Raw genomic sequence first — 13,905 nt, forward strand, 5'->3', positions numbered from 1 at the left:
GTTTATTTACTGTTATGATTTCTTAATCTTTTAACATGTCTGTGTACTGTGATTTGGCAAGAGAGATATGCAGGATGAGAGATTTTAAAACTTACCTGACTACAGAATTCACTTCGGGTAAAACCATATCTCACGGTAACAGTGTTCTTCAGAATCTAGTTTGAGAAATATTTAATGACCCTAGATTCAAGACCAGTGATCTTGGGGCATAATTTTTTTCATTCTGTTTGATCATTGATAGTCTCTGTATTGAAAGGTGGATGGTGGCTGAGCATGGTAATTCATGCCCGTAATCTCAGCACTTTGGGAGGCTGAAATGGGAAGATTGCTTGAGCCCAAGTTCGAGACCACCCTGGGCAACATAGGGAGACTCCTGTCTCTACAAAAAATACAAAAATTAGCCCAGTGTAGTGGTATGTGCCTGTAGCCCTAGCTACTCAGGAGGCTGAGGTGGGAGGATTGCTTGAGCCGGGGAGGTCGAGGCTGCAGTGAGTTGTGATCATGCTGCTGCATTCCAGCCTGGGTGACAGAGCAAGTCACAGTCCCAAGAAAGGTGGATGGCTTTAGGCAACAAATTCAGAGAGAGAGAGAGAGAGAGAGAGAGAGAGTGTGTGTGTGTGTGTATTTTTGTGATGGTGAATTTATGGTGTATGCTATTAGAAAATGTTATTGTATTAAGTCAAAGAAAACTGATGGCTTTTAAATACTTCTGGGAAAAAGGCTGGATGCCTATAGGTAATAAAACTGTAATTTGGGTGGGACAGAAGAAATAAAAAAATCTTCATGATTCTTTAAACTTAACATGAAATATATGCAGGAAAAAATCTATTCAGATCATTTAATTAGGCACAAGAAAAGTGGGAAGCCCCTGAGACACCTTGAGTTGTGGGGCCTGACTTAGTCCCAGCTGTGCCAAATCATGTCAAGTCTCCATGAGCATTTTAGTTCGTATAAATGGAGCTAACAACCTCCTTCCTAACTAGGGACAGTGATTTGCCAGAGATCCAGGCCCCTTGCAGAGAGGCAAAGGTAGTTACTATCTAAGGGAGTATATCAAATAAAGTATCCAGGAGGATGGTATGTGTGTATATATGTGTGTGTGTGTGTGTGTGTGTGTGTGTGTACACACACAGCTGAGGAAGCTGTGTATAAAATTTTTTCCCTTATGCTTTGGGCTGGGATAGGCTTAAGTGTGGAACACCCAATTACTGACATTGATAGGAAGGTGGGAGTGTTTTGGTTGGTGCATCTGCCTGTGTTGAGGTGTTCACAGTCAAACTAGGGTAATCTTGTGAGCCAGTAATTTTTGCTTACCTAGTGTAACAAGGGCCTTTTATTTATTTATTTATTTATTGAGACAGAATCTTGCTGTTGTTGCCCAGGTTGGAGTGCAGTGGTATGATCTCGTCTCACTGCACTCCACCTCCCAGGTTCAAGTCTTCTCCTGCCTCAGCCTCCTGAGTAGCTGGGATTACAGGTGGGCGCCACCACACCCAGCTGATTTTTGTATTTTTAGTAGAGATGGTTTCGCCATGTTGGACAGGCTGGTCTTGAATTCCTGACCTCGTGATCTACCCACCTCAGCCTCCCAAAGTGCTGGGATTACAGGCATGAGCCACCGTGCCTGGCCATGAGGGCCTTTTTATTTATTTATTTTTGTATTTTTAGTAGAGATGGGGTTTCATCGTGTGAGCCAGGATAGTCTCAATCTCCTGACCTCCTGATCCGCCCGCCTCGGCCTCCCAAAGTGCTGGGATTACAGGCATGAGCCACCGTGCCTGGCCACAAGGGCCTTTTTAAAGGCCATTTCTGTTGGCAACATATGGCCCTTGCATCTTTTCCAAAACTAGGTTGATAACTAGAACAAAATAAATCCTATCATTTGAAAAGAAACATAAGCACAAATAAATAGGCCAAAGCCATTGCTTTATTCTAATATAGTTTTTAAAAATTAGACTTCTAGAAATGATTGTGTCACTCAACTTGTGCATCATTTTTTAAGAAGAGCCTAAGGGGCCAGGTGCGGTGGCTCACACCTGTAATCCCAGCGCTTTGGGAGGCCGTGGCGGGTGGATCATGAGGTCAGGAGATCGAAACCATCCTGGCTAACATGGTGAAACCCTGTCTCTACTAAAAAATAGAAAAAATTAGCCAGGCGTGGTGGTGGGCGCCTGTAGTCCCAGCTACTCAGGAAGTTGAGGCAGGAGAATGGTGTGAACCTGGGAGGCGGAGCTTGCAGTGAGCCAAGATCGTGCCACTGCACTCCAGCCTGGGCGACGGAGCAAGACTCCATCTCAAAAAAAAAAGAAGAGCCTAAGGGTCACCATCACACTGCTTGCTGTTTTGTTTTAAACTACCACGTGTACACTAATAAAATGCTGTTAATACCAGCAGTGCTACAAAAGCTTGCCTTAACTGTTGCTCAGAAATCATTCTGCTTTCCAAATTGATTCTTTTTTTTAAAGTCATGTTTATTGTGGTATAATTTTCACACAGTAAAATTCACCCCTCTTACAGTGTACACTTCTATGAGTTTTGACAAATCATGTAATCACCACTAATACCAAATAGTTTGATCACCCCCGAAAATTCCCTCTTCTATTTTATTTTATTTTATTTTATTTTATTTTATTGAGATGGAGTCTTGCTCTTGTTGTCCAGGCTGTGGTGCAATGGCACGCTCTTGGCTCACTGCAACCTCTGCCTCCTGGGTTCAAGCGATTCTCCTGCCTCAGCTTCCTGAGTAGCGGGGATTACAGGCACCCACCACCATGCCCGGCTAATTTTTGTATTTTTAGTAGAGATGAGGTTTCGCCATGTGGGCCAGGCTGGTCTCGAACTCCTGATCTCAGGTGATCCGCCCACCTTGGCCTCCCAAAGTCCTGGGATTACAGGCATGAGCCACCGCACCCGGCCCCTTATATTCTTTTATAGTCATCCCTTTTCTCCACTGCCAATCCCTGGCAACCACTGTCCATATAGGTTGCTTTTTCCAGAATAGTATATAAATGGAAGCATGCTCCTGATTCATTCTTTGTCTGGAGAAAACTTAGTTCCTCAAAGCAAACATATCATCACCTTCTTATGTTTTCAGGAAGGAAAAATTACCTTTTTACTTATGGCCAATGCTGCCCAAGTTTTCCTGGTTACCTTAGGTTTGGATTGTGTACATTCTTCGCACAGCCCATTCCGTCTTGTTCATGTACCTAGCGTTAATGATCTGGAGTACATCAGAGGTGGCCATTCTCTGAGGGTATTTTAGATTTATAGGTCATTCAATACTGGGTCTGACCAACAGTTCTAGCAACTCAGAATTAAGTATTTTCTGAAACTTCCTATTAGGAAAATACCCCCTTCTTAAACAGTGACGTTAATACAAATAGCTTTCAATAAAATATTAACTGGAATAGGCATATAAGTTTTTTATCTGATAGCCAGTGTGAGAACCGTCATCTTTTATACTTTTCCAAAAGAAGTGGTGTGACAGGTAGGAAGAAAACTAATGCTGCCACATAGAATTCTGCCTAGTAGAACACCATCATAGAAGTGTATACAGCTGGGCTAGGCATGGTGGCTCATGCCTGTAATCCCAGCACTTTCAGAGGCTGAGGCCAGAGGACTGCTTGTGAACCCAGGAGTTTGAGACCAGCCTGGCAACATAGTGAGACCTCTGTCTCTACAAAATTTTTTTTTTTTTTTTTTTTTTTTTGGAGACAGAGTGAGCGTCTCATTCTGTTGCCCAGGCTGGAGTGCTGCGGCACAATCTCGGCTCACTGCAACATCCGCCTCCTGAGTTCAAGTGATTCTCATGTCTGTGCCTCCCGAGTAGCTGGGATTGCAGGCGTGCACCACCACGCCCTGGCTAATTTTTGTGTTTTTTAGTAGAGACGATTTTGCCATGTTGGCCAGGTTGGTCTCAAACTCCTGACCTCAAGTGATCTACCTATCTCAGCCTCCCAAAGTGCTGGGATTACAGGTGTGAGCCACCACGCCTGGCCTACAAAAAATTTTTTAAAAATTAAAATAAAAGAAAAATATTTAAAAAAAAAGAAGTATACATAGCTTTCTGTCTGAGATGTTTCAGATACAAATATTAGAAGGAAGACATTTAAAAATCATAGTTTATGTATCTAAGTACCATTATCTGATGGTACTTTTGATATTCCTATAGCTGTCCTGTAATTGTTCTCTTAATCCTGTTTGAAGATAATAAAAATAGTATCGTATACTAACTTATAAAAACTAAAAAGAAACCCAAGGAAGATGAACAGTGTAGTTATCTATGTTTATTAATCTCGGAATGTTTTATGAGTTAGAGATTTACATATTAAAAGTTCTCTTATAGACCTGGTTTATTATCTTTGACATGCCAATGATGTTTTCAGATGCAAGGAAATATACCAAGTTACAAATAGAAGGGGTCTTTTCATTTGTTCTGATTGATTTATTGAAATTTATGGAGCTTAAAAATTGCGGGACCTTTTTTTAAGGCTATGAAAATGATTCTGTAGAAGACCTGAAGGAGGTGACTTCAATATCTTCACGGAAGAGAGGTAAAAGAAGATACTTCTGGGAGTATAGTGAACAACTTACACCATCACAGCAAGAGAGGATGCTGAGACCATCTGAGTGGAACCGAGATACTTTGCCAAGTAATATGTATCAGAAAAATGGCTTACATCATGGTAAGAGGGGATTGCAGTCAGATATTTAGTGTCACTTTAATCAAGTTGAGCTACTAATCCATAATGTTTACTCCGTGTACCTAGGCATTCAGCCCTTCCTAGCAAACTGGAGATGGGGACTGTAGAGCTGCTACATTTGTGTGACTACTCTTCGTCACTCACAAATAGCTTTTACCAGTGTTAAGAGTCCTCACCTAAGTGGAGAGGAAGGACTGTGTAAACATTATTTCATTTCTAGTCCCTTCTTAATCTACCTACCCCATTCAGGAAATGACTAGGAGGCTGCTGGTTTCTGACCTGTCACAGTTGGTATAACCAGAAGGGTTGAGGAGAAAGTGAACGGGCTCTCTTGCATTCTTGTGTAATCCCCAGATGTAAATGGGGGGACTGGAATTCAAACGGTAATGGGGATAAAAGGGCAAGGAAAGAAAAGAAAGGGAGGATGGTTATGGAGAAAAGGAGTTGTAGAGAAGAGTTGAATACCTGTAGCAGGAATCAGAAGTTTATAATCTTAGGTAGGTCAGGCCGTGTGCTGCAGCTCATGGTTGTAATCCTAGCACTTTGGGAGGATCACTTGAGTCCAGGAGTTAGAGTCTGCAGTGAATTGTGATTATGCTACTGCACTCCATCCTGGGCGATAGAGTGAGATCCTGTCTCTAAAAAAATTTTAAAAATGACAGTCTTAGGTAGGTCAAATTTTTTATTGTGAACTCAGGAAGCTGTGATTAAGTAGAATTTATTCTGCACAAATGTTATTTTTAAATTAATCCATAGTTTCTAGTTCTTCTGCTCTGAATAAAAAAAATTAATACAAAGTCTTTACTGAAAAAAGTGGGGAGGGGAACTACTAGTAAGTGTGATGGTCAGTAAACAGGTTATTCACTCATCGTACGAATGTGAGTTGCAAAGGATTTTTGAGGACAAGAATTCCATCTGATGTATGTTTGTGTCTCATTTTCCTTTTCCACTAGCAACCAGGTGTACTATATTGTCTCTCAGTAAATAATTACCAAGCTTTTGCCTTCAGATAAGTTTTCTACTAGAAATGAAACATTAAGTCCAGTCAATAATCCCAAGTAGCATATGAATACTAGGAAAGTTGTAGGAGTTCAGAGGACAGAGCCATCCCTTTTGCCTGGAGTGATAGACCAAGACCCCTTGAGTCTTCTATAATGTTATTTATCAAAGCAACAAAAGAAGAGCTTTTAAACAAGGTTATGCTTACTTGTTGGATTTTCAAGTTCAATACAAAAATGTGTATGTCTGACAGTTTTCAGACGTAGCATCAGAAACATCTTGGTTTGTGTAAAATCTCCAAGCTCTCTTCCGACTATGTATTATACCCTAGTCCTGATTTTGGTGTTTAGTTGAACTCATACTCATCCTGAGATTTGAGATGCTTAGTATGCCATGCAAATAATGAAGAATCTGTCATGCTGGAACTAGAAGCCTAGGGTAGGGAAGAACTTGGAAAAAGTTAGAACTCTGCCATATCACCCCCATTTCCTGCAGCCACAAGATGGGAAGGAGAGGAGGCCAGCCCTTCTAGGATAGATTGTTAAACATGCTAAGACTTCTGAAACATGCCAAGACTTCTGAAAAGAAAAGGTAGTGGTGGGAAGTGGTTAAAAATGTGGCCGTGAAAAACGTGTCTCTTGTTAATTAAAGTGATCTGACTTAAACTTCTTTTAAACTGTTTATAGGAAAATATGCAGTAAAGAAGTCACGGAGAACTGATGTAGAAGACCTGACTCCAAATCCTAAAAAACTCCTCCAGATAGGCAATGAACTTCGGAAACTGAATAAGGTGATTAGTGACCTGACTCCAGTCAGTGAGCTTCCCTTAACAGCCCGACCAAGGTCAAGGAAGGAAAAAAATAAGCTGGCTTCCAGGTAAATGCTAATAATGTTCACTCATGTGAAGAAAGTTTAGGAGGTGAGGTTAGTCCCTAAGTGAGTTTTTATAGAAGGACAACAAAGAAATTGTATTTTTCTTGTATAAATACTACAATGAGAATATTATAATTTTTCTTTTGAAAGTAGAAGACGGTATTTTTGTTTTATGGAAAAAGTTTTTAAGAGGGGAGAGATGAATGGACTCTGGTGCATTATGTTGTATAACAATAAAAAATTTTTTCATAGCTTTATTTTTTGTTTGCTTTTTTAGTAAGTCAGAGTTATTGAGCTATAACTTATAGTAAAATGTATACCTTTTAATGTATACTTTTATGAGTTTTGACAAACATATCCAATCATACAACCACCACCACAATCAAGATATTGAACATTTTCATCATCTTAAAAAGTTTCCTTATGTCTCTTTGTAAAAGCAAACCCCTTCCTGCACCCATCGCCCCTCAAAACTACTGATCTGTTTTCTGTCTCCGTAGTTTTGCCTTTTCCAGAATGTCATGTACATGGAATATACTGTATGTATGTAGCCTTTGATTGAACCTGTCTTCCTTTTTTTTTTTGAGACAGAGTCTCACTCTGTCACACAGGCAGTGGCCTGATCTCAGCTCACTGCAACCTCTGCCTCCAGGGCTCAAGGGATCTTCCCGCCTCAGCCCCCTAAGTAGCTGGGATTATAGATGTGACCCACCATGCCCAGCTAATTTTTGTATTTTTTGTAGAGATGGGGTTTCACCATGTTGCCCAGGCCTCCCAAAGTGCTGGGATTACAGGCGTGAGCCAGTGCGCCCAGCTGAATCTGTATTCTTTCACTCAACATGACACATTTGAGATTCATCCATATTGTTGCCTGGAGTAATAATTTGTTCCTTTTGGTTGCTGAGTTGTATTCCTTTGGGTGGGGATATACTACAGTTTATCCATTCACCAGTTGAAGGGCATTTGGGTTGCCTCCAGTTTTTGGCAATTTTGAATAAAACCACCATCAATGTTCACTTACAAATGTTTGTGTGAATATATTTCCATTTCTCTTAGATAAATATCCAAGCATATATGCTTATAAGAAACTGCCAAACTATTCTCCAAAGTAGCTATATGTGCTGTTTTACTTTCCTGCTAGCAACACATGAGGGTTCCACTTGCTTCACATCCTGTACAACTTTTGGTATTATCAGTTTTTGTTTGTTTTTATTTTTGTTTTTTAGCCACTTTAATAGGTGTGTGCTGATATAGCTTTATTTTTAAATGTGTGCTAAATTTTTAAAAATCAATTTGCATAAATGATTATGTTGTGTTTTCTGGTAACTCAGTTATTTGTTAAATGTCAGTAGGCAGCAGTTTTGGATTGCTATTAGAAAATGAAAGATGAAAATTCACTTAAAAAAGAAAGCAGGCTGGGCATGGTGCCTCATGCCTATAATCCCAGCACTTTAGGAGGCCAAAAAGGGAGGATCACTTGCAGCTAGGAGTTGGAGAGTAGCCTGGGCAACATAGCGAGACCCCTTCTCCGTAATTAAAAATAATAAAATTAAAATTAAGAAAAAGAAAGTGAACTAACTGCTCCTTCCTTTCACAGAGCTTGTCGGTTAAAGAAGAAAGCCCAGTATGAAGCTAATAAAGTGAAATTATGGGGCCTCAACACAGAATATGGTAAACCTAAAGTTTTAAGAAGTTGATTAACCACCTATTGATTTGCTGACCACTCTCTCTTTTCTTTGGTTTGTGATTTGCTTTCGCTGTATTCTGCCTAGTTTTTGGCTAGCCTCCTATTTGTTTATCTGTTCAGTAAGCCACATGCTCACTTTCCTTCAGTCTTGTCCACCTTTTAATATAAGTTTCTGTACTGCTGACTTCCCAATCCACATCTCATCTTTACACTAACAAGCTGATCCACATTGTGACCATGATAATTTGTTTATTTTTTTCTATAAAAGATGTGAAAAGTTTTACAAGTAAATTAAGAATAGGCAGCAAAAACAACCTGCACTTCTCGAAAGATCACAATAATTTCTTCTATTTTATAATTGTGTTACTGGATTAGCCAGTTTTGTTGACTGATTTTAATATTTTCCCTAAATTGAATAATGATATTTTAGGCTTCGTATGAATAATTCAGACCTGTGTTTTTCAGATTTGATTGCTCATTGGAATTGTCTGTGTACTTGGTTAAAATACACATTTCTAGGCTTCTCTGCAGATCTTCTGAATTAGATTGTGTACAAGTAGAACTCAAGAATCCATATTTTTAACACTTCTCAGATCATTCTCTTTTTGTGTGTGTGAGACAGGATCTTACTCTGTTGCCCAGGCTAGAGTGCAGTAGTTTGATCACAGCTCACTGCAGCCTCCACCTTCTGGGCTCAGGTGATCCTCCCACTGCAGCCTCCTGGGTATCTGGGAATACAGGAGTGCACTACCACGCCTGGCTGATTTTTTGCATTTTTCATAGAGGTGGAGTTTCTACTGTGTTGCCCAGGCTGGTCCCAATTTTGTGGGCTCAAGCAATCTGCCCACCTCAACCTCCCAAAGTGCTGGGATTACAGGCATGAGCCGCTGCACCCAGCCAAGATTATTCTTTTTTTTTTTTTCTTCTTTTTGAGACGGAGTCTCGCCCTGTTGCCCAGGATGGAGTGCAGTGGCACGATCTCGGCTCACTGCAACCTCTGCTTCCCAGGTTCAAGCAGTTCTCTTGCCTCAGCCTCCTGAATAGCTGGGACTACAGGCCCACGCACCACACCTTGCTAATTTTTGTATTTTTAGTAGAGACAGTGTTTCACCACGTTGGCAAGGCTGGTTTCGAACTCCTGACCTCAGGTGATCCACCTGCCTAGGCCTCCCAAAGTGCTGAGATTACAGGCATGAGTCACTGCACCCGGGCCCAAGATTATTCTTAATGGAACCATTCTAGCACTTATTCAGGAACTACTGGCTTTGATCTAAACCAAAGTGCTTCTCAGCATTTCACATTGTAGCACATGTAGAAAATTATCATCTCTGAGGCATCACGGAATATAACAAGAGTAGGCTGCTCATGGGAGGAGGTCCCCATGAGCTGAGGGGATAATTATCTTACACATCTAGAACCCTTTTACAGCACTTCAGGGGTATGGGAAGCTCTGGTTTTGATCTTCTGTGATAAGAACACCTCCTTTCTCCCTTATTTTGTTTAAGCCTGGTGTTATAAGAGTGTATTCCTTTGCCTCAAAAATTGTCCTCTTCGATGTGTAGTTCTTTTGGGCAAGTTGAATCTGAAAGTGAAACAGTGTGAACAATGACCAATTATTTGTTTCTAGAGGTTTTCTTAAGTTTAGCATGTCTGGCACATAGGTGTTCAATAAACTGTGCAGATTTTCTTAATCTTTTATCTTGATTATTTTGTTTCCTTTGGTGAGGGCAGAAAAAGAATTTCCAACTGTAAAGTTTTCAACTTATGAAATGAACTTAATGTTTTATTTAATAGCCACTCAGTAAATGAATTAGATAAAATAATTGTTGGTGTGTTGAAATGCAAAGCTATCCATTTTCCTATTGTTCTTTCTTACTATTGAAACATTTTGGCCTTGAGCTCTGTTAGTGGTGCCCTGGCCGCCTCCTAGATATCTGGAAGTCACTCTGTTACTTCTTTGTGGAACACTTATTATCCATTACCTATCAGCCCAATAGTTTCTAGAATTTGTGATTTACAATTTGAAAAATATTTTGAGACTTGAGAACATAGGCTTACCAACTTTATATTTTGCCAAGTGAGAACAATAAAAAGAACATCATCTACTATTACTATAATTTCATATAAGGAAGGATATTTTAGTATTAAAAATTTGAGAAGGGCATAATCTCATAATAGAAAATAAATTTAGCTTTATGAAAAATGTACTCTGTTGTCTTTATCATTTTTAATATGTCATGAACTGGCATTGTTCCAGGGACTAGCTTCAGGGGCCCACTATACTACTCATCTCATCCTATCCCACCAAACTTCCTTCTATTGATTCCTCCTGACAAAGCTCACTGGAGACTGCTGTGTGAATCCTGTGGAAACTTGTTGACTCAGAATGAGAAATAGAACTGTTAGCTCTTCACTCTGACTGACGTATTTTGTCCCTAAGGAAAGCTATATGGAAACATTAAAACCAGAAAATCCCTTGATGAATATGGCATCAGAGGAGGAGGATCTGTTTATGAGTTGAATGTTTGGACTCAATTTCTGAGAGCCAGGTGCTTCTATTTTCTAAACCAGAGGTTTGCGGTAGCATGAGAGCCCTTTCCCTTTTCTCTCCCTGCCCCGTAATGTGTTTGGACACTGTCAAGGCTTGAGAAGAACTATTCTGCTCAGTTTTACTTTAGATTTTATAGTGTTTTTTCTTTTTCTTTTCTTTTTCTTTTTTTTTTTTTTTGAGACAGAGTTTCACTCTTGTTGCCCGGGCTGGAGTGCAATGGCGCGATCTCGGCTCACCGCAACCTCTGCCTCCTGGGTTCAAGCGATTCTGTTGCCTTAAGCCTCCCGAGTAGCTAGGATTACAGGCATGCACCACTACTCCTGGCTAATTTTGTATTTTTAGTAGAGACAGGGTTTCTTCATGTTGGTCAGGCTGGTGTCGAACTCCCGACCTCAGGTAATCTGCCTGCCTCGGCCTCCCAAAGTGCTGGGATTACAGGCATGAGCCACTGTGTCTGACTGTGTTTTCTCTTTTAAAAGTAACTTTATTTACTTTTAACCTGTTGAATATGGGAGAACCCCATTGTTTTCCCTAAGTCTAGCCTTTATGCAAATATCCTTGAGTAAGTAGTCTTCTCTTTCAATTATTCATGGAGAAGAAACATAGATTTTTTGTTTCAAGTGATATAGGAGGTTAGCTCTACTTCCTTGTTCAGTGACACATTTTACATATATTGGCCCTGAATGTAGTTTTGCTTTGTTTTTTTTTTGAGACGGAGTCTCGCTCTGTCGCCCAAGCTGGAGTGCAGTGGTGCAATCTCAGCTCACTGCAAGCTCCGCCTCCCAGTAGCTGGGACTACAGGCACCCGCCACCACGCCCGGCTAATTTTATTTTTTTGTATTTTTAGTAGAGATGGTGTTTCACCGTATTAGCCAGGATGGTCTTGATCTCCTGACCTCGTGATCCGCCCGCCTCGGCCTCCCAAAGTGCTGGGATTACAGGCATGAGCCACCGCGCCCGGCCCCTGAATGTAGTTTTAAATTGTCCCTCTCACTTTCCTCTTCAACTGCAGTTTAGATTGGCCCCTTCTCAGTATTGCTAGATGAAGAATAACAAATCACTGGTTTTTACACCAGGCATTGTGGCATGCTTCTGTAATCCCAGTTACTCAGGAGGCTGAGGTGGGAGGATTGTTTGAGACTAGCCTGGATGATAGAGAAATACCCCATCTCTTTAAAAACAGAACAAAAACCTCAAATCACCAAGGCAGTCTCTGAAGAGGTAGAGATTAATTTCAGACTGTAGGAATCCTGTGTGCTGAAATAAAAAATGTGTTTTCCTTACAGCTTTACCGAGGTATAATTGAAGTACAGTACCTACACATTGAAAGAGTATAATTCGATTGGTTTACATATACGCATACATATGTGAAACAATCAAGATAATGAATATTTCCATTACCTCCAAAAGATTCCTAGTGCCCCTTTGTAAGTCATTCTGCTCTCCACTCCTATCCCTGGATAGCCTCAATCTGCTTTCTGTCACTATAGAGTAATTTACATTTTTCTAAGATCTTACATTGATGGAATCACAATATGTTTACATTTTTGCCTGGCTACTTTCACTCAGCATAATTATTTAAAAATTCCTCCATGTTGTTACCTGTATCAATAGTTAGATCCTTTTTATTGCTAACTAGTATTCCATTGTATGGATGTACTACAATTTGTTTATCTCTTCACCTTTTGATGGATACTTAGGTTGTTTCAAGTTTTTGGCTATAACCACGGGGCTATGAGTATTTGTGTACAAGTATTTGGGTAGACATATGTTTTAATTTCTCTTGGTTAAATACCTAGATGTAGAATGATTGATTCATAAGATAAGTGTATATTTACTTCTATAAGAAACTGCTAAACTGTTTTCCCAACTGACTGTGCCATTTTGCATTCTTAAAAACAGTGTAGGAGGGTTCTAGTTGGTCCACAGCCTTGCCAACATATGGCAAGGCCTATATTCTTATTTTTACAAATCTAATGGGTGTGTGATGGTATCTCATTGTGGTCTTAACTTTTCATTTCTCTGATTAATAACATTGAGCCTCTTTCCTGTGCTTATTGGCTGTTCATATGTTTTCTTTTGTGAAGTGTCTGTTCAAATATTTTGCCATTTAAAAAAATTGGTTTCTCTTCTAAAGGTTCTTTATTCTGGGCCGGTCGCAGTGGCTCATACCTGTAATCTTAGCACTTTGGGAGGCTGATATGGGTCAATCACCCGAGGTCAGGAGTTCGAGACCAGCCTGGCCAACATAGTGAAATCCCATTTCTACTAAAAATACAAAAAATTAGCCAGGCTTGGTGGTGAGCACCTGTAATCCTAGCTACTCGTGAGGCTGAGGGAGGAGAATCACTTAAACCCGGGAGGTATGGGTGCAGTGAGCTGAGATTGTGCCATTGCACTCCAGCCTGGGCAACAAGAGTGAAACTCTGTCTCAAAAAAAAAAAAAAATAAGTAAGTAAATAAATAAACGTTCTTTATTCTGGATATAAGTTCTTTGGCTTGGCTTTTTGCTTTCCTCATTGGCATCTTTTCCTTTCCTTTTCCTTTTTCCTTTCCTTTTTGCCTTCCCTTCCCTCCCCTCCCCTCTCCTCTTCCCTTCCCCTCCCCTCTTCCTCCCTCCCTCCCTCCCTCCCTCCTTCCTTCCTTCCTTCCTTCCATCCCTCCCTCCCTCCCTCACTCCCTCCCTCCCTCCTTCTCTCCTCTCTCTCTCTCTCTCTCTTTCTTTTTCTCTCTCTCTCTCTCTCCTCCTCTTCCCTCCCTCTCCTTCCATCTTTCTATCTTTCTTGTCTTTCCTCGCTCTGTTGTCCAGGCTGGAGTCCAGTGGTGCGATCTCAGCTCACTGCAACCTCTGCCTCCCAGGTTCAAGCGATTCTCGTGCCTCAGCCTCCCAAGTAGCTGGGATTACAGGTGTGCACCACCACACCTGACTGATTTTTTTTTTTTTTGAGACGAAGTCTCACTCTGTTGCCCAGGCTGGAGTGCAGTGGCGCAATCTTGGCTCACTGCAAGCTCCATCTCCTGGGTTCACGCCATTATCCTGCCTCAGCCTCCCAAGTAGCTGGGACTACAGGAGTCTGCCACCACGCCCAGCT

At 40.8% G+C, this 13,905-nt stretch overlaps 1 protein-coding gene across 6 annotated transcripts in view; it reads left to right on the forward strand.

Annotated features, from left to right (window-relative positions):
* Nucleotides 1-13,905, forward strand: part of CREBRF (CREB3 regulatory factor) — an 82,933-nt gene that overhangs the window by 47,782 nt on the left and 21,246 nt on the right. For all 6 annotated transcript variants that reach the window (XM_005265821.4, NM_153607.3, XM_011534442.2 and 3 more), the window contains 3 exons: nucleotides 4,491-4,685; nucleotides 6,389-6,578; nucleotides 8,173-8,246. In XM_005265821.4, coding sequence (XP_005265878.1) covers nucleotides 4,491-4,685; nucleotides 6,389-6,578; nucleotides 8,173-8,246 — 459 coding nt within the window. The remainder of the gene's footprint in view (nucleotides 1-4,490; nucleotides 4,686-6,388; nucleotides 6,579-8,172; nucleotides 8,247-13,905) is intronic.

Source organism: Homo sapiens, chromosome 5, assembly GCF_000001405.40.
Source record: "Homo sapiens chromosome 5, GRCh38.p14 Primary Assembly".
In the NCBI taxonomy this organism is placed as follows: Eukaryota; Metazoa; Chordata; class Mammalia; order Primates; family Hominidae; genus Homo; species Homo sapiens.